At 40.7% G+C, this 27,311-nt stretch overlaps 1 protein-coding gene, 1 long non-coding RNA gene and 1 pseudogene across 9 annotated transcripts in view, besides 1 other annotated feature; 1 reads left to right on the top strand and 2 right to left on the bottom strand.

Annotated features, from left to right (window-relative positions):
• The window catches only part of KYNU (kynureninase), a 178,170-nt gene that overhangs the window by 46,146 nt on the left and 104,713 nt on the right, over positions 1–27,311 (top strand). For all 8 annotated transcript variants that reach the window (NM_001199241.2, NM_003937.3, XM_047446250.1 and 5 more), the window contains one exon: positions 3,850–3,932. In NM_001199241.2, coding sequence (NP_001186170.1) covers positions 3,850–3,932 — 83 coding nt within the window. The remainder of the gene's footprint in view (positions 1–3,849; positions 3,933–27,311) is intronic.
• LOC124907894 (uncharacterized) lies at positions 5,905–7,300 on the bottom strand. The gene is made up of 2 exons (XR_007087249.1): positions 7,234–7,300; positions 5,905–6,132 (listed from the first exon to the last, which is right to left on the bottom strand). It is a non-coding gene; the product is annotated as an uncharacterized LOC124907894 (long non-coding RNA).
• Positions 6,845–8,044: an enhancer, noted in NCBI's record as "MED14-independent group 3 enhancer chr2:143688223-143689422 (GRCh37/hg19 assembly coordinates)". NCBI's record gives its function as "activates an origin of replication core promoter dependent on BRD2, BRD4, P300/CBP and CDK7 cofactors, and independent of MED14, by STARR-seq in HCT116 cells {active_cell/tissue: HCT116}" and the evidence as "EXISTENCE:reporter gene assay evidence [ECO:0000049][PMID:35650434]".
• SFXN4P1 (SFXN4 pseudogene 1) lies at positions 23,555–24,365 on the bottom strand (annotated as a pseudogene).

A 27,311-nucleotide genomic window follows, 5' to 3' on the forward strand; every position in this document is an offset into this window, starting at 1 on the left:
TCTAAGAACTGTGACAGTTTAGGTAAGATTATTTAAAGACAAAAATGTCCCTTTGAATTAAATATCAGGAATAAACCACAGAGTTTACTTTACATGGCAGTGTGTGTGTGCTGACAGGACACTGATAAAACATGCCAGAGAGATGTAGATGCCTCCTTCAGACCCCTCTAGTCTCATTTAATTTAAGGATTTCTTCCATTAAAAGCAATAGTGTTTGAATAAGAGAGCACTAAGAAAATACATAGAATGGCATGTTACAAAGATTTTTCACAACATCTTTGTTTTTGTTTTTCTAATTAACATTCTTTTTTTGGAGTCAGGGTGTCACTCTGTTGCCCAGGCTGGAGTGCAGTGGCGTGATCATAGCTCACTGCAGCCTTAAACACTTGGGCCCAGGCTATCCTCCCACCTCAGTCTCCTGAGTAGCTACGACTATAGGTACATGCCACCAAGCCTGGTTAATTTTTTCTTTAATTTTGTAGAGACGACGTCTCCCTATGTTGCCCAGGCTGGTCTCAAACACCTGGTCTCAAGGGATCAACCCACCTTGGACTCCCAAAATGCTGGGATTACAGGCGTGAGCCACCGTCCCTGGCCTCTCAACATCTTTATTGGCTAATCATCAATTGGATCATGGAAAAAAAATTATAATGTAATGAAGGCAGCCCATGAAATTGTAATTATTTACTTATGGAAGGAAGCTTTCTAAAAACAGGGCCATTTTTCACTTTGTGGGATGGTTACAGCATGGTCCTACTTTAAAGAGGATCCAGGTTTCTATTAACTTCCTAATTTTACATCCTGCAATTCTAATTTTGTGAGTAAATACTCCTAGTAGATGTCTCAGAAAACACCCACTTATAGCAATGATTTATTCTGTGGCAGTGAGTTAACTCTCTCCCATGCTCTCTTTTCCTTTCCAGCATTTGTAAAAGAAGATTACATCTATGCTGCGACTATTTTAAGTAGCTTTGTTTGAACAATATATTTTTTCTTAACTTTAATACTGATGTTTATAACGGCACTTTAATCTACATCAACTCTTTCTAATGACAGGCCACTTTACTTTGGGTTTATTTGGGTAACACTTTCTAAATACATTTCACTACCCCAGGCTAGTGGGCTAACAAAATGAAGAAGCAGACTCTGTGTGGTATTTTAAAGGGAGGGAGATGCCAAAAGCATTGCAGGAAGAAACACATCCTTAAAGATTATTACCACGGTGTCTACCAGAGTAAGGAGTAGGTGGCATAACATTCTGAGATATAAATTCTCTGAGGCAGAACATAGAATTTTACTACCTAAATGTAATAAGATGTATTGTGCTATCAGCAAAGGCCATGGAGCTCTATGTGATGAAAATAAAAAAGGATCCAAGTATCTTCCTTTAACTACCATTTAATGATAATGATTTTTGTCTTTAGCATTTATATTAGAAATCAAGAAAGAGGCAAGCTGCAGGCTATCTAATAATAATACAAATAATAATAACTAACAATTGCCCCTCTCTTCCATCCTTAGTTCTTAGCAGCCTATGTTTATTCTCAAAGAAAGTCCTCTTCCTTCATCTTAGTTTATATGGTAATAGAAATGTTAGTTTAAAAATTGTGTTCTACACCACATGCTGATGAAGGTAGTTTTAGCATTAGATTTACATTAGGAAAGAAGACTCAGAAACAGGGTACTATGTAACCGTCTCTTTCACATGTTATCTCATTTATTTCTCATGGGAATCCTTTAAGGTCCATATTGTTACCCATTTACTTGTACAAATGTGGAAAATGAAGCCCTATAGCTTCCAATAAATGTGGTCTCATGACCAGTACTGACCTGGAGCTGGCTTATACCAGATGTCAAAAGCCAATTATTAAATACTCAGAATTTCTGTTGGTAGTATGAAATCACCCATGATGGGAGTATTTATACCTTGGAAATCTGCAAAGGAGGAAAAACAGTGCTCTAGTCCTCTGGTCTTACCACCCCTTTTAGGGAGTACCAGCCCACCAGCACCAGTTTACTGACACAGATTCAACCCAGGTTGGTACTATACAAAAAGCACATTTTCATTCCTTTCTTTCAAGATGACAAACTTTTGGATTCCTAAAGAATTAAGAACTGTTACCCAGAAAAAATGGGTTTTATTCTTTTGGTGAGTAACAAAGGTCTTTCTGGAGACATGGATGATGCTGGAAACATCATTCTCAGCTAACTAACACAGGAACAGAAAACCAAGCACCGCATGTTCTCACCCATAAGTGGGAGTTGAACAATGAGAACACATGGAATCAGGGAGGGGAACATCACACACTGGGGCCTGTGGGGGGTGAGGGGCTAAGGGAGGGAGAGCATTAGGAGAAATACCTAATGTAGGTGACGGGTTGATGGGTGCAGCAAACCACCATGGCACATGTATACTTATGCAACAAACCTGCACGTTCTGCACATGTATCCCAGAACTTAAAGTATAATAAAAAAAAAAGTCAGAGGAATATATAGCAGGCTCAAATATTTATCTTTTTAATTGTGAAATCATCTTTGCAATATTTATTATGAAATAAGTTTTAAAATATTGCATAATTCTAAAATATGATTTAAAATAAATTATTTCTCTGTAGTAAAAAAAAATAGAGCAGGTTTTGATCAATAGAAGTTTGATTACTTGGCATAAGTAAGGAGGACACTGGGAGTTTTCACAAAAGCAGTGTCTCCCAGAGGAAAAGTGACAGGGAAGTTTTATGGGGTGATAGGGAAGAAGGTGCATCATCTCATGTAGAGGAAGAGTTCCAGTTGCGGAGATGCAGTGAGTAATCACACCAGTGCGTAGATCGCATCTTATGGTAATGAAGCTATAGCTCCTCCCCAGGGTGGAGACTTTAGCATGGTAATGAGGAAATTTCACACAGACTCGTCTATGAGTTGCTGGGGTCTGTCAGAAGCTTGCCCTAACCAACAAGGTGACAGCATTACACACCAGGCTTGGGAAAAAAACAAGTGATAGGGCAGGAGGCTGTAAAACAGGCTGATGGTTCAACTTTATTAAATGTTATAATCCCTGGAGACCCCCCTGCCTGCTTACAGAACTATCACATTCAGGGCATCATAAGATACAACAATGTAACAGCACTCAGAGGCGCTTCATCTTAATCCTCTGTTTTAATTTCTTCTATGTTTTTCAAGTGTATTTGCCTTCTTCATTTCATGGAAATTTCTTGAAAGTTGAAGTACTCTATGTATTTTGCATTTTTCTACTATGCCTCCTGGGATACTTACTAGAATAATAAAATTGAGCTGGAATGTGACAGATGAAATTGCTAGCAAATATGTCAAACCAAGTAGTATTGGCTTTGATTATTCATAAATTTTGTTATTTACCTATAAAATGGTATCATGAGTATAATCACATTTTATACACTTCTATTAAATTTACAGATTATAGCTATATTTCAATTTATAATCATTTTAGTCTCTAGCCTTACAAAATAGTATGGAAGTTTTAGTATAGATACTACATTCTACAGGTATAAAAGTAGTGTTCAAATAATCTTAAAAATTGCAAAATAACTGAGACCAAAAAAATTAGACTCTAGAATATAGCAAAATATTAAAATAACATATGAACAATCTCCCCCATTCCTCACAAAAAGAAAATAAAAGAAATTTAAAAAGAGAAGTTAAAAGACATTAATCCCAAGTATTATATATTTTGTTTTAAAAAGGCCTGATTTTATATAATTACTAACACATAGAAAGGTCCACATAGAAATGTTTATTTGCTAAAGCTGATATTTGAAATAATCACACACATGCACATAAAAGCTAAGATATGTTTATGTCCGTTTTCAATTTCAGAGCAGCCTATGGTCATGAAGTGGGGAAGCGTCCTTGGATTACAGGAGATGAGAGTATTGTAGGCCTTATGAAGGACATTGTAGGTAAGTACAAAACACTGAAGTTTTTCCAAATGAATTGTAAAGATGTTATCATTTAGTTATAAACACAGGCTCATAAAGTCAAAATCTTATTGAAGAACATAGTGATTTTCTATTTTAATCTATAATAGTAAAAAGGAAGTACACTTTCAACTTAAATTTGTTAACTCAAAGATTGCTATGGTGAGCATAACAAGGTTATTTATATAAAAATAAAATATATGTTATTTTTTTCTGTCATACTTTAAATGTAATATTTATCACACATGAAAAACACATACATTGTATTAATTTATAATTGAATACATTTCATAAAAATCAACTGAAATGAATTTTCTATAATTTAACTATTTGATATAATGAACATTTTCACATGCTAAAGGTGTAAAACACCAATCATGTTTTTGCTCATTTCAATTTAATCTTTGGTGATCTATTTAAATTTTAGCTTCATGTTACTGAAAATGACATAGCTGATGCTGTTTTTAGTCTAAAATGTGCTATCCTAAAGAGAGTTATATATACTATCGGTGGTATTTAAGATAGTTTTAGATGGTAAATGTGTTAACATTTTGAAAAAATTTATTTAATTGGCTTAAATATTCAGCATTGTTTAAAATTTAAGGTACTGAACAAAAAAATTAATGATATTTTGGTAATTGGAGTGGTGCTATTTGGAACTATTTTAAGGACTTAGGGAAAACTCAAGTTTTCAAATCCTTTTTGAAAGCTTATTCTCTTATAAGCAAACATAAAAATATCTTTATTGCTTCATTCCATTTGAATCTTGACCAGTAATTAGAGAGAAAATCAACGTGGCTGGAAGGGAAATGGAGTGGGGAAAGCTGGACTTATGCATAGAAAAAACTATGGCAACTGGCAAATCATTAAAATCTGGAGACTATCTTGTTTATTTAAAAAGTAATTATTGATTTTTTGCTATATGTCATGACTTGTGGGAGCTCTGAGGACATAAAAGTGAATAAGGGCTGGGCATAGTGACACACACCTATAATCCCAGCACTTTGACAGTCTGAGGTGGGTGGATTGCTTGAGCTCAGGAGTTCGAGACCAGCCTGGCCAACATGGTGAGATCCCATCTCTACAAAAAAATTTTAAAAATTAGCCAAGCATGCTGGCACACCCGTAGTCCCAGATACTTGAGAGGCTGAGGTGGGAGGTTAGCTTGAGCCTGGGAGGTTGAGGCTGCAGTGAGCCCAAATCGTGCCACTGTTGTTCAGCCTGGACGACAGGGTGACACCCTGTCTCAAAAAAAAAAAAAAAAAACAAAAAACGAACAACACTCACCTTCCTTATCCTCATAGACTGCCAGTAAAGGAAGATGCAAATAAATCCAAAATTAATGTACATACATAAGTAAAATACAAAGAAATATAAAATTAATCACACTACCAAAGAGGCATAATTTTCCAGTTGATTTAGGACTGAACACATGCATGTAACTACTCTTTTTTCTAAAACCTCACCAAAGAATTCTGAATGGAATAGAAAAAAAAATTACAAAGTCTAAACTGCAGAGGACAAAATAGAATGCCAAAGGAGATGATAATAATATCTGGGGAGTTGGCTCGCTGATAGACAAGTGGTAATTGCCTTTCTCAAAAAAAAAAAAAAAAAAAAAAAAGTAAACCAAATCCTAATCTCCCAATGGCAAAAAAATAAAAAGCCAGCTGCTTTACCCTGCTAATCACCTGACCATGAAAAGAGCCAAATTCTGTAAAATATTTGAAGAGTAAATTTTTCTGTAAAATATTCTGAGCCAAATATGAGTGGTCATGACCCAAGGCACAGTCTCAAGAGGTCCTAAGAACATGTGCCCAAGGTGGTTGGGTTGACAAAAGACATCAATCTACACATGTGAAGTATCCATAGGTTTGGGGGAGAGGAGGGGACAGGCGCACAGGTGGGAAGTGTAGTAGTTTATAGGTCATAGGATTATAGATGGAGTCAAAGATTTTCTGATTGGCAATTTATTGAAAGAGTTAAGTTATTATCTAAAAACCTGGAATCAATAGAAAGGAGTGTCTGGAGGAAGATAAGGGGTGATGAAAACCAAGGTTCTTATTATGTAGATAAAGTCTCATAGGTGGCTGCCCTTACAGACAATAGATGGCAATTGTTTCCCATTCATACCTGTAAAGGGTTCTAGTCTCTCAGTTCATCTCTTCAGGATTGGAAGGGACTGAAAAGGGAAAGATTTGGTTATATTCTTCATATTCTTGACAGATGTAAATTTTCCCTCACAACAGAAGGCTTTGTAGGGCCACTCAAAGTATGTCAAAGAGACATATTTTGGGGTAAAATATTTTGATTTTCTTCTTTATCTGTCATTTGATGTTACGCCAGAGTAAGGTTGGAAAGTAAGCTTGTCATATAGGATAAAATAAAACCCATCTGGTGAGATTTTATGGTTTGTAGGATGTTATTCCCCAGGCCTCTTAGGAATTTGGGCAAGACAGAAAAAAGGTCAGAGTTTAGTCCTCACACCTCCAGAAGGTAGTGATGAAAATATGAATTTTTAAAAAAGAAGATTTGTTGAAATTCTGTTTAAAATACAATTAGAATATCAGATCCCCTTGCCAACTTGATGCTGCAGGTGAATACTCCCACACCCCATTTCAGGAGATGACTAGAGGATTAATTTCCAGAAAAGGGAGGAGAAAGGGTCTCCAGACTGCCATGACAAACACCACAGACTGGGTGGCTTAAACAATATAAGTTTATTTTTTCGCAGTACTGGAGGCTAGAAATTCATGATCAAGGTGCAAAGTGCTGTCAGGGTTGGTTTCTAGTAAGGGTTCTCCTCCTGGCTTCTCCTCTTGGCTGCCTTTTCACTATGTCCTCACATGGCCTTTCTTTTGTGTACTGGAGGAAACAGTTCTCTGGTGTCTCTCACACGTCTTATAAGGACACCTAAGGATACCAGCTCTACCATATCAAGCCCTCACCCTTATGACTGCACTTAACCTTAATTACTAATTTGTAGGCCTATCCCCAAATACACTCACATTGGAGATTAGGGCTTTAACATATGAATTTGGGGCCACCAACTCAATTAATAATATATACCATAGTTGTAAGGTTTCTGTATCGGTTTGAACCCCGAGAGCACGTCAATAGACAACACGAGGTGGTGTGGAGCAACATGCTGTTTTAATGAGCGCCTGGGTGCAGGCGGGCTGAGGCCTAAAATGGCATCAGCACCAAGTGAGGACAAGACAAAGGTTTTATAGTCTCCTGTAAACAGGAAGTGTTCTAGTCTGACATAACTGCTGCGTTGTACCTGGATGGCCTCTTTCTCGATCTTCAGGGTTACGTGTCTTCCGGCCAGGGTAGCTGTCTTTCGGTCGGCTCTCTTCCTGCTTCTGATATCTTGCTGGCGCACGCCGCTGACGTAAGTAGCCTTGCGCCTTCGTACTGGGCCTGAGAAGGAAGGAGTTATTCATCTCCTTAAGCTTTCAGGCCTCAGGGAGAATCGTACATTCCCGTCTATTTGGTTGTAGATAAAAGGGATAAGGGGCCTCTTTCTCAATAACTACTTCACGTGTGATATAGGGGGTGGTGTGGGCACCTTGGAAAAACAAAACCTTAATTTTTTGGGTATTCTTGAGAGACGGGTTGGTATCCACATTGTCCTTGTAGTAGGAGCATCATCTGTATTGTCTGGAAACGCGTCTGTGCCTGCAAGACAGTTATGTTGAGAGGACAAGGAGGTGTCAACAGGGAGAGGTATAGCCTCATTTGCTGCTTCACGAATGAAAGACTGTGTCTGGATTAAGGAGGGGAGGTAATTTCTGAGTGGGTTAGAGTTTGGTAAGGGTGGAGGCCCTAAGATAAAAGTTCGGCCATACATGATTTTAAAGGGACTATAAAAAGAGGCTGCTTTTGGTGTTGTGTGGAGTCTCATGAGGGCAAAAGGGAGATTTTTTGTCCACGACTGGTGGGTTTTTAGAGCCAGCTTCGTGAGTTGCGCTTTAAGTACAGATTTAGTTTTTTCAACTTTGCCTGAAGATTGAGGCCTGTAGGGTGTGTGGGGAACCTACTTCATATTTAGAGATGTAGAGACACCTTGAATAATTTGGCTGATGAAGGCCGGCCTGTTATTGGGCTGGATGGATGTTCAGAGTACGAAATGGGGAATTATATGCATGATGAGAGTTTGTGTGACGACATTTGCACCTTCTGAAGTTGTTGGGAACATTTTTACTTACCTGGAGAAAGTATGGACAAAGACTAGAAGATAGCAGAGCGGCATGTGAGTGAGGTTTACTTGCCATTCTTGCCTTGGTACCTGGCCCCAGGCTTGGTCGGTAGGAAAAGGTAGCGGCCAGAGGGAGCCTTGGGGTGACACTGAGTGGCAGATAGAGCCAGACTGGGTAATTTCTCAGACATGGCTGGAAAGGTGAGGACAAGTGAGAATAGGGTGGAAAAGTTGCAAGAGAGGTTTGTAACCGACATGGAAAGAGTTGTGGAGTCTTTGGAGGTGAGGAAGATTTTGAGAGTGAGGAAGAACAAAGCACCTTTCCTTGACATACCATGGTCCTTGCTTTTGAAGGTTTTGGGCTCAGAAGTCCTGCTTTTCTTCTGAGGAGTAAAGAGGAGAGAACAAGGACAGGGAGAGAAACTGGCCTTGCACGGATCATAGGGCTATTTGTTTCACTACCTGATCTGTTAGCGCATTTCCAGCCGATATGTGATTGTCTGGGGTTTGGTGGCCCCTGCAATGAATGATGGCAACTTTCTGCAGGAGCCTGATAGCTTGAAGGAGTTTGTTGATGAGAGAGCCATTTATGACAGGAGTGTTTTTTGCAGCTAGGAAACCCCGTTTTTTCCAGGTAGACGAGTGTGACTGTACTATATGGAACGTATAATGAATGACAAATTGAATATATGTTAATTTGTTGTCCGGCTGTCAGTGTGAGAGCTTGAGTGAGGGCAATGAGTTCAGCTTTTGGGAGGTAGTGCCTAGGGGCAGTGGATTGGCTTCAATAGTATGTGGGGGCGGGGGGCGGGGGACACTATAGCATAGCCAGCATGCCGGCGTCCTTGCTGTAAGAAGGAGCTGCCGTCTACAAACCAAGTAAAGAAGGGGTTCATCTGTTAGATTTGGAAAAGGTATAAGAAAGGTTTGAACAGTGTTCACACAGAAGTGTTTAGGGTCTTTGGCGGTTGTAGCTTCAGGTAAGAGCATGGCTGGGTTTAGATGGGAGCTGGTTAGCATAGTGATTTGGGGGGTTTCTATGAATAGAGCATACAGTTGGAGGAGTCATGGGGCAGAGATGAGACTAGTACACTGCAGTGAGTTGGCATGTCTTTGATGTTATGGGTTGAATAAACTGTTAGGTTGGCATGGAGAGATAGTTTTAGGCTTTTAAGGGTTAGGACAGCAGCTGCCGCCAATGGTCGGAGGCAGGCAGGCCATCCAAGAACTGAGGCTTTAAGCTGTTTAGAGAGGTAGGCAATAACCTGAAGGGTGGGTCCTTTAGACTGGGTTAGAACACCTAGTGTAACTCTATGCTGTTGGTCAGTATAGAGGGAGAAAGGTTTGGTGAGGTCTGGGAGAGTGAGGACAGGGCTGAGGTGAGAGCCTTCCAGAGTAGACGGAAAGGTTGGGTAATAGGCTGTGCAGATTTTTAAGGCTCATGGAGTGGGGCTTTAGCAGCTTGGTATAATGGTTTGGCAAGTAGAGCGAAGGAGGGAACCTAGAGCCTAAAACATCCCACTAATCCTAGAAAAGAGAGAGAATTTTTTGCTTAGTTTGCAGAGGCAGGAGGGATTGGAGGAGAGATATGCAGTCAGCTGTGAGCCCTTGGGTTCACGGGGTAAGAGCTAGCCCTAGATAGGTGACTAAGGGGGTGCATAATTGTGCTTTCTTAGAGGAGACCTAATACCCTCGTTTTGTCAAGAAGTTTAAAAGAGAGAGATAGTGTGGGTGTTGCAGTGTTTTTGAGAGGGGCTACACAGGAGCAGATTATTAACACATTGAAGGAGAGTGGATGGTTTTAGGGATAGGGTACTGAGGTCAAGAGCAAGGGCCTGTCCAAAAAGATGGGGGCTGTCTCTGAAACCTTGAGGTAGTATGCACCAGGTGAGCTGATGTGAAAGTTTGGAGTTGGGGTTTTCCCATGTAAAGGCAAAGAGGTTTTGGGAATCAAGGTGTAAAGGAATTGTGGGGAAAAAAAAGCATCTTTTAGGTTTAGAACAGAAAAATGGGTGGTATTAGACAGAATTACGGAAAGTAAAGTATATGGGTTAGGAACTACTAGACATACTGGGAGTACAGCTTGGTTAATGAGCCTGAGGTCCTGGATTAAGCGATAAGTTTCATCTGGCTTTTTGACAGGTAGAACTGGTTTGTTAAAAGGGGAGTTTGTTGGGTGGAGTAGGCGACTGGTGAGGAGGCGAAAATGATAGGCTTTAGGCCTATGCGAGTTGCTTGGGAGATGGGATACTGCTTCTGTGATAGGAACTGGGTGGGCTTTTTAAGGGCAATGTGGATGGGGGTGTGGTGTTTTGTGACTGAGGGTGTGGAAGTGTCCTAAACAGAGGGGTTAACTACGGATGGGGGATAAGGAAAAGTTGCATGTTTTAAGGTGGCAGGTTGGAGGAGTAGAAGAAAGTTAGAAGCCCCAGAGGGGTCTGGGTTGGTGCGTTGGGTACTATGGGGAACATGGAAGTGAAGAGTAGTGTGGAGCTTTGAAAGGAGTGGAGTTTGGCATGAGGGTAGGACTAAGAAAGTGAGTGAAGGAAAAGGTGTATAGGGAGCAGAAAAGTGGAGGGGTGGCTTGGGGTTTGGAGACTTGTCTATTAATTTCTACAATAGAGACTTGGGAGAACTCAGTGGGTCCTGAAAAATTAGGTAAAGCAGTGTAGGTTGCCCTGGTATTAATTAAAAAACATACTGGCCTACCTGCCACCATCAGGGTTACCCTTGGCTCGGATGAAGAGATGGTAGTTGCCAGGGTGTCCATTTCAGGGCACCGTCACTCTTCAGTGGCAAGGCCGATGAGATCCTAATAGGAGGTTTTGGCCAGCTTCGGAAGGGATGGGGGCGGTCCTTGTGGGGTCCGCTGACAGTCCAACCTCCGGTGGGGTCCTCCGCAAAGGGGGCATGGCCTGGTGGGCTTACCTGGGTTTGGGCATTGTCTGGACCAGTAGCCTTCATTGCCACACTTGAAACAGGCGCCAGGTGGAGGTGGATTGCTAGGAGGCTTCCCTGTTGAGCTGCAGCCCTGCGGGCCTGGTGGAGGTAAGCATTTGAGACTACCTGTGTTTTGCCTTTCATTTTCCTCATCACGATTGTTAAAGACTTTGAAGGCTAAATTAAGAAGGTCTCCATGTGGGGTTTGAGGGCCGTCATCAAGCTTCTGAAGTTTGCGTGGAATATTGGGGGTGGACTGGGAGGTGAACCAAAGGTTTAAGATAGTGGTTCCTTTTCAGCTGGCTGAGTTTAGGTTGGTGTATTTTCTTATGACTTCAGTTAAACAAGAGAGAAAAAGGGCTGGTTTTCGTCAGGACCCTGGGTGATTTCTGAAAGTTTTTCATAGTTTACTACTCTATGGGCACCCTTTTTGAGTCCTGCAAGGAGACACACAATCATGTGGTCTTGATGGTGGCATCCAGAGGCCCCATCTTGATAATACCAGTGGGGGTCCTGATTGGGAACTGCCTCTGCGCCAGTAGGCTGGGCAGGAGTTTGGTGATGAATTGTATCAGCCTGCGCCTGAGCTAGGGTCCAGATATGGTCTTAGTCTTCTGGGGTGAGGGTGGAAGAGAATAATGTAGAGGTCATGCCAGGTTAGTTTATAAGACTGGGTAAGGTACTGAAACTCCCTAATATAAGAGGTGGGGTCTTCTGGAAATGAACCGAGTCTTTTGTTAATTTGAGACAGATCAGTGAGGGAGAAGGGAACATGAACTCTAGTAATACCTTCAGTTCCTGCTACTTCCTGAAGTAAGGGTGGGTCATAGGCTAAAGATGGCATCTGAAGGAGTATGGGCCGGAGGGAAGGAAAAAGCCGGAAGTGGTTCCTGCTGAGGGTATGAAGGGGGAAGGGAGTTGAGTTGATAAGCAGTGGAGGATACATACGGGCGTAAGGTGGCAGGATGGGTTTATAGGCTTCAGGAGAGGGCGATGAGGAAGGAGAATGAGTACAGGCAATGCTAGAATTGTCCTGATGGGACGGTGTAGGAAAAGAAGTGGATACAGCTGACTGGGAAGGTGGTGGCTGAGAAGATGATGACTGAGAAGACAACGAACGGGTTAAAGAAGGCGATTGAGAGAAAGAGGTAGTGGCTGGGAGGCATGGACAGCAGTCTGCTGGATTGAATGAGGAAAAAGAGGTAGGGTTGGGAGGAGAAAGGTGATCTGGATAGCAAGAATGGAAGAGAAGGATTTGAACAGGTAAACAAGAATTGTAGAGGTCGGGCTGTGATCTGAGTGCAAAAAACGCCTGGACATACAGAATTTCTCCCCATTTCTCCAGTCATTGGCAATAATTGCTTAAGTTCGTTAAAATTATAAAGTCAAATGTTTTATTTGAGGGCCATTTAGATGCATTGTTTAATTTGTACTGCATCCAGGCTATATTGTAAAAAAAGACGGGGCACTTAGGGTGGATATCTTGTCTGAGGCCTAAGGTTTGCAGGGTTCTTTTATGAGGCAGCCTAGAGGGCTGTTTTTTGGAATAGAGGACCAAGAATTTCCCATAACGGAGGGTAGGCATGGGAGAACAGAGAAAAAGGAGACCGTCCTGGACAGCTGGAGGGAGACGATAAAAGGAGTGATCGTCACTGCTGCCTTTTTCGTTCCCGGAATGGGATCAGTTGGCTTAGAGGTGTCCCCTAAGAACAGATGATCAGCAACTGCCTGGCACACACCAGAGCCTTCTTGGACCAACGCTGGATTTTTGGACCGGAGAAACCAAGAGAGGCCATGTAGATTTTTCCCTGTTGACAGAGCTCCCAGGAAACTTACTGGTAGGTGAGATCAGTGACTAATGTGCATGCAGAGGGGTGACTGGAGGCTGAGGAGTTTCCTTTGTCTGGCTGCTGTGGCCTACTCTCTGGGGTGGAGGGGTAGGCCCAAGGAGGACGCAGACTTGAGCCCCTCCCAGGTTTTGGCACCAGAACGTAAAATTTTTGTATTGGTTTGAAACCCAAGAGCGCAACAGACAAGATGAGGTGGTGTGGAGCAACATGCTGTTTTAATGAGCGCCTGGGTGCAGGTGGGCTGAGGCTGAAAATGGCATCAGCACCAAGTGAGGACGGGATAAAGGTTTTATAGTCTCCTGTAAACAGGAAGTGTTCTAGTCTGTCGTAACTGCTATGTTGTACCTGGATGGCCTCTTTCTCGATCTTCAGGAGTATGTGTCTTCCAACCAGGGTAGCTATCTTCTGGCCAGCTCTCTTCCTGCTTCTGCTATTTTGCTGGTGTACCCTGCTGATATATGTGGCCTTGCACCTTGGTACTGGGCCTGAGAAGGGAGGAGTTACTCATCTTAAACTTTCAGGCCCCAGGAAGAATCTTACAATAGTGAAAAAAAAAGCATTAAATAAATGTTTATCCACTTGCACTCTTATTTAGCTACCAGTCCCCACACAGGAGGCTGGACAAGTCTACTCTGTTATCTGCACAACCTAAAGAGTCTGACATGAGGGCATTTCCCAGCACGATGGGCAAATGGGATCACCTTACAACAAACCCCATCACGTGCAGAACACACTGTTAAAAAAAAAAATCATGAGCCAAACTAAATTTAACGGAGTTTAATTGAGCAAAGAACAAATCATGAGTCAGGCAGCCTCTCAAGCCAGAGTAGGTTCACAGACTCCAGCACAGGCATGTGGTTGGAAGATTTGTGGACAGAGAAAGTAAAGTGATGTACAGAAAATGGAAGTGAGGTACAGAAACAGCCTGATTGGGTACAGCCCAGCATTTACCTTAATTTAACATGGTTTGAACAGTTGGTCTCCTTTGATTGGCCAAAATGTGGTGATTAGCACAAGAGTAGGTTACAGTCTGCTTATGCCTCCATTTAGGTAACAGTTCATGATTTTCAGAGAAAGCTTTAGGCTGGACTTAAAATATGTAAGGAGGCAAGTTTAGGCTAAAGTTAATTTAACAATCTCCCTTTTTGGTCATCTTCTCAATTTTGAGAGATTGACCAAAACTTTAGTCATTGATGTAACTATCACCATCATAAATGTCCTTATTTGGTTTCAAAACCCACCGGAAAATAGCATAATAGTGGATTTTGTAAGATAGGAACAAGGACTTCGGTAATTTTTTTTTACGGGTTAGAGTAGAGGGTACCTCCTCATGCTGGAATATCCTGTTTACAGGAGAAAAACAAAACCTAGTCTGTTCTAGGATATATCTGTTTCCTTGAAGTCTTATTTTTTATTATGTCACATTTATCATAAGTGACTGCTTTTTGGTTTGGTCTGGTCTGTGGGGTCCTAGTGCATGAGCTCACTCCAAAACAGTATCCTCCCATAATTTTGTTTAAATCTGTTAAAAGAAAATCCTTAACCAAATTAAATTTATCCGAGTATAATTGAGCAAAGAACGATTGACAAATTGGGCTGCCTCCCAAGCCATAATAGACTCAGAGATACTCCACCGCAGCCACGTGGTGGAAGAAGATTTATGGACAGAAAAAGGAAAGTGACATACAGAGAAGGGAAGTGAGGTACAGAAACAGCCAGGTTGTTTACAGCTCAGCATTTGCCTTATTTGAGCAGGGTTTGAACAGTTTCTCTTCTTTGGCCAAAATGCGGTGATTAGCACTGGAGCAGGTTACAGTTTGTTTACATCTCCATTTAGGTTATAGTTCACTATGCACAGAGAAACCTTTAAGCCAAACTTGAAATATGTAAGTAGATAGCTTTAGGCTAAACTTGATTCAACAACACTCATGTTTATTATACCCAAATTACAAAACTTTTCATGAAAATCTATTTTTATACATCCATGTTGTGTGGAAAATTTTTTAAAAAAAGAAAAAAGAAATCTGTTTTTAGTTTATGACCATATGAATATGTTAACCTATTAAATTTTTTTTAATAACTTTATAGGGGGCCAGGCATAGTGGCTCACACCTGTAGTTCCAACACTGAGAGGCCAAAGCGAGAGGATCACTTAAGCCCAGGAGTTCAAGACCAGTTGAGGCAAAATAGTGAGACCCCGTCTCTACAAAATAAATAAATAAATAAATAAGTAAAATAAATAAGAGAAGAAAGAAAAATTAGTGGGGTGTGGGTGGCTCATACCTGTAGTTTGAGCTACTTTTTAGGCTGAGGCAGGAGCTCAGGAGGTGGAGGCTGCAATGAGCCATGATTGCACCATTGTACTCCAGCCTGGGTGACAGACTAAGACCCTGTCTCAAACAAAACAAAACAAAACAAACCCCTCAAACCTCAATAGAAGAGTTGTAAACAAAAGCAAACTCAAGTTCCTACCAATTATTATTAATCATTACATTATACAAATTTCTATTGGTTTTGTGCGACTATGTTGTAGATCAGAATATCAACTTCTAGTTTAAGATAACAGATTGAGTCTGAGAGTGGTGGCTCATGCCTGTAATCCCAGCACTTTGGGAGGCTGAAGCGGGCAGATCACAAGGTCAGGAGTTCGAGACCAGCCTTACCAACATGGTGAAACGCTGTCTCTACTAAAAATACAAAAATTAGCCGGGCATTGTGGCACGTGTCTGAAATCCCAGCTACTCAGGAGGCTGAGGCAGGAGAATCGCTTGAACCTGGGAGGTGGAGGTTGCAGTGAGCTGAGATTGTGCCACTGCACTCCAGCCTGGTGACAGAGCGAGACTCCATCTCACAAAAAAAAAAAAAAAAAAAAGAAAAAAGAAAAAGAAAAGATAACAGATTGAGTACAGACCGAAAATTCTCCGTTCTATGACAAATACCGAGGAGTGACTGAAAAAAAAATTAACAAACATATAGCAACAGTTAAAAATAAGTAAATAGAAATCTGCATAGACCAGAAATTTACAACTATTATTGAAGAAAAGAACAGTAAGAAACCAGAAAGTAGTATTTTGGGGGCAGCTCACGTGGAGTCAGGCTCAGTGTAGGACTTGAGTGAAAGACTTTCCCAAGAAGCCCCAGGGCTAATCTGGGCAGCCCTGGATGCTTAGGTCTGGAACCCAGGGCCAGAATCTTTGACAGCCAGATCCAGTAAAGGCCAAAACCAAGAATCTCCTCCCACACCAGTGGATTCTCAAAACACAGTGCACTTGATCAGGCTGTCAGAATTACCTAGAGCAGTGCATATTCTGATGGAGAGAATTCTCTGAACAATCCTGAATTGCATTTAAAAGTGTGCGAAATATTTGTGTAATAAATCCTTCGTTTGTGTTCATTTGTTAGAAGCCAATTCTAAACATTCAAATATTCTAATATGTAAACAAAAAAACTGGAAAAAGAATTTGCATTTAATTTGACCGGAGAATATGTGCTTCTCTTAGCTGTGAATTTTTTTTCACTTTATTCAGTTTGCTTTCAGAACATAAACTGCATTCTAATCCTGTTATTTTGTTCTTAATATTTATCATCCTCTAAAGAGAAGTTAGAATGTTTATATAGAAGCCAGGGAAGTGGTAAAGTGATATTATTCAGTGAGATTTATTTATGAAGCCAATAAATCCTGCAAAAAGATGTCCTTTGACCATTTAAAAGTTTACAGCTCTATTGCAACTTATTAAATGTCCAAGAGCCTTGTTGACACATAAATACATGTATGACACATAAAGATCACTGAAATTTCAAACCTGTCACCTTTCATTATTGTTACTAAGGAAAAACAAAAAATAAGAGAAAGACTATAAATATTCAGTCTTGTTTAGAAAACTAAAGGGATTAAGCTTATTTTAAATTTTTAAAAGAAAATTTGTCAACCATAGCTGTAGGGGTTTTCTGCCTGTCTTTGAAAAACCACACAGTAATATAATTTATATTCTGGCCCACAAGACTGCCGCCACTTCAGATGCCAGTCAAAAATCCTAGAAACCACCCTTACTTTAGACGCACCAGCTGTAAATTCAGGGATTTCCACAGTGCCCTTTGCAGGCTCCATAATTTGCTAGAGCAATTTCAGAACTTTACTTTCACTTTACTTTATGTTTGCCAGTTTACTATAAAGATACAACTCAGAAACAGCCAATGGAAGAGATGCATAGGGCATGGAAATGAGGGAGCTTCCATGCCTTCTCTGAGCCTGCCACTCTCTTGGTACTTAAATGTGTTCATCAGCCCAGAACCTCTCTGAGTCTTACTGTTTTTATAAAGCTCAATCCCAGCCCTCCTCTCCCTCTGGGAGGTCAGTGGGTAGAGCTAAAAGTTTCACCTCTACTCCCTCTGATCACTTGGTCTTTTTGATGGGCAGCCCCCCATAGTGAGATGTCTCTCAGGGCCCCAACTTAAGTCACTTTATTAGCATCAACTCTCCTGTGATCTAAGGGAGCTTGTTATGAATAACAAAAAATACTTTTACCACTTGGAATATCCAAGGGTTTTAGCAGCCCTGTACCCTGAACTGAGAACAAAAACCAAATATTTCTTGTTATAACACACCTATGGGACAAAATTCATTTAGTTTTCTACATTTTTGTCTTTGAATGCTGCATTAGTTAAATTAGATGTGTTTGGTCCCAAAATATAATGTGGGATATAGAAGATAACAATTATTTCTTAAAATGGGCAAAGTGAGTTTTGTAGACCTGAAACTTCGTAAAGAAAATATTTATAACTTTCCCAAAGCCTCAAACCTTATATGACAAATGCATTGTCACATTTTATTTGAAGTCTTTTCAGTGGTCTGGGTTGTAAATCAGAGTTAGGAAGGGTGTGATAGCTCCTATGGTTAGGGAGTTTAGAGCCACAGGAATTTAAGAGATTTGCCATGCTGAATGGGCCCTGAACCCACGACCTGACCCGTAGGTAATTTAGTTTCCTAAACCATTGGATCCATCTTTATCGATAAAGGAGCATCTGTTTCGGTCTTTCAGATCATACTATTAGCTCCAAAATTTTTTAACTTCCAAAATTAAATACATATTAGTCAGAGAAATGGTCCTTACTTAAGTCAAATTGAAAAAATGAATAAACGAGGCACAGTGGCTCACGCCTGTAATCCCAACACTTTGGGAAGGTAAGGAAGGAGAATTTCTTGAGCCCAGGAGTTCAAGACCAGTCTGGGCAACATGGTGAAACTCCGCCTCTGCAAGAAATACAGATATACAAAAATTACCCAGGCATGGTGGTACATTCCTGTAGTCCCAGCTATTCGAAAGGCTGAGGTGAGAGAGTTGCTGGAACCTGGGAGTTTGAGGCTACAGTGAGCCATGATCATGCTGCTGCACTACATCCTGGGTGACAGAAAAAAAAAAAAAAGAAAAAAAAAAAAGAAAAATGTGTAACTTCACTCAAATAGACTCTTTTAGAATGTGTTTTTTTGTGTGTGTTCATTTTGTTTGCAAACCCCATGCAGCTTCCCGTTTTGCCTTGGTTACTAAGAAGTTCTGAGAAAAATTTGATCAAGTTTGAAGTAACAAAAATATTTAATAAATTCTAATTTGTTTCTCATCTGCATTTATTGTGTTGCTACTTTCTATCATTCTTCCTCAAATAGTTTTGTATTACAATTTATCTGAAACCCTCTTTGGAAGTAAGTGTGGTTTAAATGATGAAATAATTAAAATAATTTTGTAGTAACTGCAGTAAAGAGTAGCAAAGGCCAAATTTATTTTTTCTACTTGCTAGGGTTACTAGCAGCAAATCCATATGGGTCTGCAGCAACCTCGGTTTTTGCCTCTTTAGAAGAAATAATTCAACTGAGGGGCGTAAGGCAGGAGAGATCAAGGCAAATTTTAGAGCAGGAGTGAAAGTTTATTAAAAAGTTTTAGAGCAGGAATGAAAAGAAGTAAAGTATACTTGAAAGGGCCAAGTGGGCAACTTGAGAGATCAAGTGCATGGTTTGACCTTTGACTTTGGGTTTTGTATTTTGGCATGCTTCTGGAGGCTTGTGTCCCTTCTCCCCTGATTCTTCCCTTGGGATGGGCTGTCCTCATGCACATTGGCCTGGTAGCACTTGGGAGGGGCTGCATGTGCAGTGTGTTTACTGGAGATATGTGCATACTCACTTGAGGCATTCTTCCCTTACCAGCTGAATGTCCCTAGAAGGTCACATAAGAGACATTAAAAATTGGCCATTTTGCCTCTTAATGTACATGCTTGAGCCCACTCACCCAAATCCTGAGATATTGGGAAACTGCTGATCACGAGTTTCAGGTTTTTTTCTATCTTTTGGGAGACTGTCTTTCCCTGGCACTGGCTGCAACCAATTATTATTTTAGAGAGACAGTTAACAACTGCCTGACCATCACCTGACATTCCTGGTGATGGGAAGGAGATGCCTGCCCTGCTCATGTCTGCCTGACTACCTACTGTAACACCAGGTTGTCTAAATGTGCCATGAGCAAACAGACAAGTTGTATATTTTGGGTCGTGATTGAGTCTTCCAGGTTCTTAAAACCACAGCCTTTAATTTACCATAAAAAATTTTAAAAAGAAGTTACCAGGAGGATAATAAAAATTATTATGTGTACAAATTGATAGTGTGGATAGAGAAGAGAAAGAAATAATAACCATATTTATTCATAGAAGTAGAAAAAATTCAATTTCAGATGAGAAGAAAAACTGTTAATGAAACATTTTATAGAGAGCCAATAATTCTTCAAAACATGGAATAACTTTCCCTTATAATTAATGTCATATTATCAAGATGGTAGAAATAAAATTGCTGAAGAATATTATTAATATTATTATTAAGCTTACTTCTCCCTGGATAGATAAAAATCACACAGCGTTAGCTACATGCATTCAAGGTTATAAAAATGGTGTAATGTGAACATAAATTTGCTTTATGAAATCCGTGGCTGACCCTCAGAGAAGCAATAATCCCTGGAAGCTATCCCCCCACAGCTGCAGACCCTCAGTCATGTACCAGCCACCTCTAAAGGCTGCTGAAATTTGTTACTTGAAAAATGGAATGTAAAGTTCTTGGACTTAGCCTAATTACAAACCTTACAGCCAAATCCACAATAACATTTGCATCTGCTTAATAAAATATACAGAACATTGTATGGCAGTTATGAGACCCGTAATGAACCCTCTTATCCAATGGTAAACAGCTTGGGGCCTTGTCATCCCCACTTTGCAAGAGATTTGAAATTATGTTAGGATTAAAAAGACACAGAGGGAAGTTGGTTAAGATCCTCAGTCTCAAGTCAAATACACAGAGTATTTTCTGTAAACAATGCTTTAACCCTGAAAGAACATTCTTATTTTATTTTTCTTCTACAAGACTTTTGGTCAGTTAGTTCATCTCTTTGCACATCAGTTTCCTCGTTATGAAATGAAGAGAATTAGAGTAGGTACCTTATTGAGTTGCTATGCATGCTGAAATAATACAAGTCACATAATTAGAAGTGCTGAAATACTTAATGGATCCATAAACATTAGCTTGCCAGTCTTTGAGACCAGAATGCAGTTGCTTGCATTTAACTAAGTTTTATCTTCTGGTAAAGCAAAAATATGATGTTCAATAAATAAATAAACAAGGAATAAATAAGCAGAGAAGCACTCTTTGGATTAGAGCACTGGCTCACACTCATCTCAGAAGTGATTTAAATCTTGACATTTATTGCAGTGAGTCATAGATGATCTGATAAAGTAAAGATCCTTTCAAAACCTGCTAAGCTCTCCAGAAGCATTTTAAAAATTTTGCCCCAACATAACTGGAGCTCTTGATGTTTCCACATTAATTCAAAATAATTAGGAAAAAGTAAAGGAATGAAGAAAAACAACTTGAATAAACTTTGGTTAACTTTTAAAAAAAAAAGATTGTTAGTGAAATGATGATATTGAAACATCTTAGGACAATATTGGTTTCAGAAATCTAATTTGAACCAAAAAAGATAGGCCAATTAGGTAAATAATCTTTTGAAAATACAGACATACCTCAAAGATATTGTGGCTTGGTTCCAGGTTGCTGCAGTAATGCAAATATTGTAATCAAGTGAATCACACACATTTTTGGTTAAACAGTACATACAAAAGTTATGTTTACACTATACTGTAGTCTATTAAGTATGCAATAGCATTGCATCTAAAAAGCAATGTGGATACCTTAATTAAAAAAATACTTTATTGCTAAATAATGCTAACAATCATCTGAACCTTCAGTGAGCTGTAATCTTTTTGCTGATGTGGGTTGTCTTGCCTCTATATTAATGGCTGCTGACCAATTGGGATGGTGTTACCTGAATGCTGGAGTGGCTGTGGCAATTTCTTAAAATAAGATAGCAATCACGTTTGCCATGTTAATTGAGTCTTCCTTTCATGGAAGAAATCTCTGTAGCTTGTGATGCTATTTGATAGTATTTTACTCACAGTAGAACTTTCAAAATTTGAAGCAATCCTCTGAAATCCTGCCACTGCTTTATCAATTAAGTTAATGAAACATTTTAATCCTTTGTTGTCATTTCAACAATGTTCACAGCATCTTCACCATCTTCAAAATCTTAACCATTTTTCTTTGCACTTTCGTAAGAGGCAACCCCTCATCTGTTGAAGTTTTATTATGAGATTGCAACAATTCAGTCACATCTTCAGGCTCCACTTCTAATTCTAGTTCTCTTGCTATTCCACTACATCTGCAATTATTTCCTCCACCTGAAGCCTTGAGCCTATCAGTCATCCATGAGGGTTGGAATAAACTTCCCCAGTTCCTGTTCATGTTGATATTTTGACCTCCTCCCAATAATCATGAATGTTCTTAGTGGCATCTAGAATGGTAGATCCTTTCCAGAAGGTTTTCAACTGACTTTGCAGAGATCCATCAGAGGGATCACTATCTGTGGCAACAATATCCTCACAAAATGCTTTTTTTAATTGTATTTAATTTTTTTTTTTTTGGAAAAGCAGTCTCTATCGCTCAGGCTGGAGTGCCGTGGCACAATCTCGGCTCACTGCAACCTCTGCCTCCCAGGTTCAAGTGATTCTCCTGACTCAAACTCCCAAGTAGCTGGGATTACAGGCATGCACCACCATCCCTGGCTAATTTTTATAATTTTAGTAGAGGTGGGGTTTCACCATGTTGACCAGGCTGGTCCCGAACTCCTGACCTTGGGTGATCCACCCACTTTGGCCTCCCAAAGTGCTAGGATTACAGGCATAAGCCACCCCACACCTGGCCTTTTTTCCAAATTTTTAACTTTAATTTTTGTATTTTGTTTTTTATTTTTATTTTTTATTTTTGAGACAGAGTCTTGCTCTGTCACACAGGCTGGAATACAGTGGTGCAATCAGCTCACTACAGCCTTGATTTCCTGGGCTCTGGCAATTCTCTGGCCTCAGCTTCCCCCGAGTACCTGGGACCACAGGTACAAGCGACCATGCCTGGCTACTTTTTGTATCATTGGTAAAAATGGGGTTTCACCATTTTGCTCAGGCTGGTCTCAAACTCCTGAGCTCATCCAATCCACATGCCTAGGCCTCCCAAAGTGCTGGGATTACCCTGCCCGGCTGCCAAATTTTATTCTTAAAGAATACTACTTGAAAGTCAAAATTACTCCATGATCCATGGACTGCAGAATGGATATTGTGTTAGCAAACTTGAAAAGTTTAATATCCTTGTACATCTCCATCAGAGCTCTTGGGCGACTATGTGCATTGTCAATAAGCACTAAATGTTTTGAAAATATTTCTTTTTCTGAGCATTAGGTCTCAACAGTGAGCTTAACATAGTCAGCAAACCATGCTGTAAATAGGTGGGCTGTTGTCCAGGCTTTGTCGTTTCACTTATAAAGCACAGGAAGAGTAGATTAAGCATAATTCTTAAGAGCCCTATTATTTTTTGAATGGTAAATAAATATTGGCCTAAACTTAAAGTCATTAGCTATGTTAATCCTGAATAAGATTCTGCCTGTCCCTTGAAGGTTTGTAGCTGAGACCTCCTTTCTAGCCATAAAGTCCTAGATAGCATCTTCTTCCAATAGAGGACTCATTCATCTACACTGAAAATCCGTTGTTTAGTGAAGCCTGCATCAATGATCTTAGCTTGATTTTCTGGGTAACTTGCTGCAGATTCTCCATCAGCACTTAACTGTTTCACCTTGTACTTTTTGTATTTCAAATAGCCAACTTGAGACAAGTTTATTAGTAATTTCATGGTACCCTTTTGTGGGCTGATTCTCACCTCACCCTTCCCCAAGCAACTCCTGTGACTAATGTCAAACAATATGTCCTTTTGTTGCTTTTTTCAGCCACCCTTACAGACCCCCAACACAATCAACCTGGAAATGACCTCAGTATGTGTAATCTTAAGTCATCTTGCTAACGCAGACACCTCTGAGGTTCCCAAGAAAACTTCAGTGGAGTTCTCTAAACTGAAACCTTGAGAGAGGAAGATTTTCAAGTAGGAACCAGACAAATTCACTTAAAACTCACCACTACACACCTGTGTCATAGAAGCATTCCATTTTTTCTATTGCAGATGGGATTTCCTCTTCAAGCTTACTGTACTGTGTCTTTTTAAAAAATAGTTGAAGACATCGGAATAAAAGCTAATGTCCCAAACAGCGCTTCCCTGGATATTGCTGTTTCTTTAAAAGCCTTTTTCCCAGCTCTTCTGAGATGGTCCATGACATTGCCTTTCTTGCTCATTACCTTGATCCCTTGAATGGGCCCAAAACTTTGGAATGCAAAAACATTCATTCCATTGACTTGGTTGAGAAAGATGATAGGTCAGGTTTTTTTTCATCTAAAGATTATCCTGGGCATACTTCATTTGGGCCCAAATGAGGGATTATTCCAAAGAAGATTGAAGAAGCAATTACTCCTTCCCCTAGTAATATACTCTTTGGCAATGATTACAGTTTGCATTTCTGCTGATAATGCTGTGTGCTATAATTATATGTAAGTTTATAAGAAACCTGGGGTAAAACCGTGGACTTTCTCCCTTTTGCTGGCATCATCTACAGAAATACCATGGGCATCATGAAAGGCAGTATAGCTATAGGCTGAAAAAAGCAGGGTTCAGTTTGCTGCTGTCATGATGCCCTGTTGAGAGACTGCTCTTCAAAGTTTCTTGTATCATTGGGTCCTCCAAGTCAGGCCTGGGTGCCTCTTTATTTACAAAGAGTAGTTGCCTCTATTTTCTCAATTGAAATGACCAGATTTTTAAGATCTAATAATTGTGTCCACCGAAGAAATCATCAATAAAAGGATCTGCATTTCATGATACACAAGTGCACCTGGACCCTATGCAGGGAGTGGCACTGCTGCACCCTGGTCACTGCCTGGCTCCTATGCTATGTACTCCTCTTCCTGGGACCTATGTCCACCTTGAACTTCTAAGTTTCTTTCCTTAAACCTTATGAGCCAACCTGTGCTAGTTTCACACTTTTCTTTTACATCTTCCTCACCTCTGTCAGGCTTCAAAGAATTGAAGAGAATTGGGGCCTTGCTCTGGTTTAGGCTTTGGCTTAATGGAATGTTGGGGCTGGTTTGATCATCTGACCAGATCACTCAAACTTTCTCCATATCAGCAATAAAGCTTGTATTAGTCTGTTTTTAGCCACTGATGAAGACATACCCAAGACTGGGCAATTTACAAAGGAAAGAAGTTTAATGGAGAACTCATAGTTGCACATAGCTGGGGAAGCCTCATGACAGTGGCAGAAGGTAAGGAGGAGAGAGTCACATCTTATGTGGATGGCGACAGGCAAAGAGATAGCTTGTGTAGGGAAACTCCCCTTTTTTAAACCATCAGATCTCATGAGACTTATTTACTATCAGGAGGACAGCACAGGAAAGACCTGCCCTCTTGATTCAATTACTTCCCACCAGGTCCCTCCCACAACATGTGGGAATTCAAGATGAGATTCGGGTGGGGACACAACCAAACCATATCATTCCACCTTTGGCCCCTCCCAAATCTCATGTCCTCACATTTCAAAACCAGTCATGCCTTTCCAACAGTCCCCCAAAGTCTTAACTCATTCCAGCATTAACTCAAAAGTCCACAGTCCAAAGTCTCATCTGAGACAAGGAAGGTCCCTTCTGCCTATGATCCTGTAAGATAAATGGCAAGTTAATTATTCCTTAAATACAATGGAGGTACAGGCACTGGGTAAATACAGCTGTTCAAAATGGGAGAAATTGGCCAAAACAAAGGGGCTACAGGCCCCATGCAAGTCCAAAATCCAGTGGGGCAGTCAAATCTTAAAGCTCTGAAATGATCTTTGATTCCATGTCTCGCATCTGGGTCATGCTATGCAAGAGGTGGGTTCCCATGTGGTCTTGGGCAGCTCCACCCCTGTGGCTTTGCAGGGTACAGCCTCACTCCCAGCTGCCTTCATGGGCTGGTGTTGAGTATCTGTGGCTTTTCTGGGCGCATGGTGCAAGCTGTCAGTGGATCTACCACTCTGGGGACTGGAGGACAGTGGCCCTCTTCTCACAGCTCCACTAGGTGGTGTCCCAGTAGGTACACTGTGTGGGGGCTGCCACCCCACATTTCCCTTCTGCACTGCCCTAGCAGAGGTTCTCCATGAGGATCCCACCTCTACAGCAAACTTCTGCCTGGACATCCAGGCATTTCCATACATCTTCTGAAATCTAGGCAGAGGTGCCCAAACCTTGACTTCTGTGCACTCACAAGCTCAACACCATGTGGAAGCTGCCAAGGCTTGAGGCTTGCACCCTTTGAAGCCACAGACTGAGCTGTACCTTGGCCCCTTTCATCCATGGCTGGAGTGGCTGGGACTCAGGGCACCAAGTCCCTAGTCTGCACACTGCAGGTGGGCTCTGGGTCCCACCCATGAAACCACTTTTTCCTCCTAGCCCTCTGGGCTTGTGATGGGAGGAGCTGCCATGAAGACCTCTGACATGCCCTGGAGACATTTTCCCCATTGTCTTGGGGATTAACATTCTGCTCCTCGTTACTTATGCAAATTTCTGCAGCTACCTTGAATTTCTTCTCAGAAATTTGGATTTTCTTTTCATCGTGTTGTCAGGCTGCAAATTTTCCACACTCTTATGCTCTGTTTCTCTTTTCAAATGGAATGCCTTTAACAGTACCCAAGTCACATCTTGAATGCTTTGCTGCTTAGAAGTTTCTTCTGCCAGATACCCTAAATAATCCCTCTCAAGTTCAAAGTTCCATAAATTTCTAGGGCAGGGGCAGAATGTCGCCAGTCTCTTTGCTAAAACATAACAAGAGTCACCTTTGCTCCAGTTCCCAACAAGTTCCTCATCTCCATCTGAGACTACCTCAGCCTGGATTTCATTGTCCATATCATTATCAGCATTTTGGTCAAAGCCATTTGACAAGTTTCTAGGAAGTTCCAAACTTTCCCACATTTTCCTGTCTTGTTGTGAACCCTCCAAACCATTCCAACCTCTGCATGTTACCCAGTTCCAAAGTTGCTTCCACATTTTTGGATATCTTTTCAGCAATGTCCCATTCTGCTGGTACTAATTTACTGTATTAGTCTGTTTTCATGCTGCTGATAAAGACATACCTGAGACTGGGCAAATTACAAATGAAAGAGGTTTACCAGAGAACTCACAGTTCCACCTGGCTGGGGAAGCCTCACAATCATGGCAGAAGGCAAGGAGGAGCAAATCACATCTTACATGGATGGCAGGAGGCAAGGAGAGAGCTTGTGTAGGGAAACTCCCATTTTTAAAACCATCAGATCTCATGAGACTTATTCACTATCAGGAGGACAGCACAGGAAAAACCTGCCCCCATGATTACGTCCCGCCAGGTCCCTCCCACAATACATGGGAATTCAAGATGAGATTTGAGTGGGGACACAGCCAAACCATATGAAGGCTGTTGGTCTTTCTTATTGTTGTGTTCACTGAAGTAGCAATTTTAACTTCTTTCAAGAACATTTTCTTTATATTTACAACTTGGCTGTTTGGCACAAGAGACCTAGCTTTCAGCCTACCTCAGCTTTTGACATGTCTGCCTCACTAAGCTTAATCATGTCCAGCTTTTGATTTAAAGTGACAGGCATATGACACTTCCTTTCACTTGAACACCTAAAGGCCATTGTAGGGTTATTGATTGGCTTATTTTCAATGTTGAGTCTCAGGGAACAGGGAGGCTGGAGAAGTGGGAGAGAAATGGGGGAAGGGCTGATCAGTGGAGCAGTCAGAACACACAACATTTATTGATTAAGTTCTCTGTCTTATATGAATGTGGTTTGTAGCATGCCAAAATAATTACAGTATTAACATCAAAGATCATTGATCACGGAAATAATA

The sequence above is a fragment of the Homo sapiens genome, chromosome 2, assembly GCF_000001405.40.
Source record: "Homo sapiens chromosome 2, GRCh38.p14 Primary Assembly".
In the NCBI taxonomy this organism is placed as follows: Eukaryota; Metazoa; Chordata; class Mammalia; order Primates; family Hominidae; genus Homo; species Homo sapiens.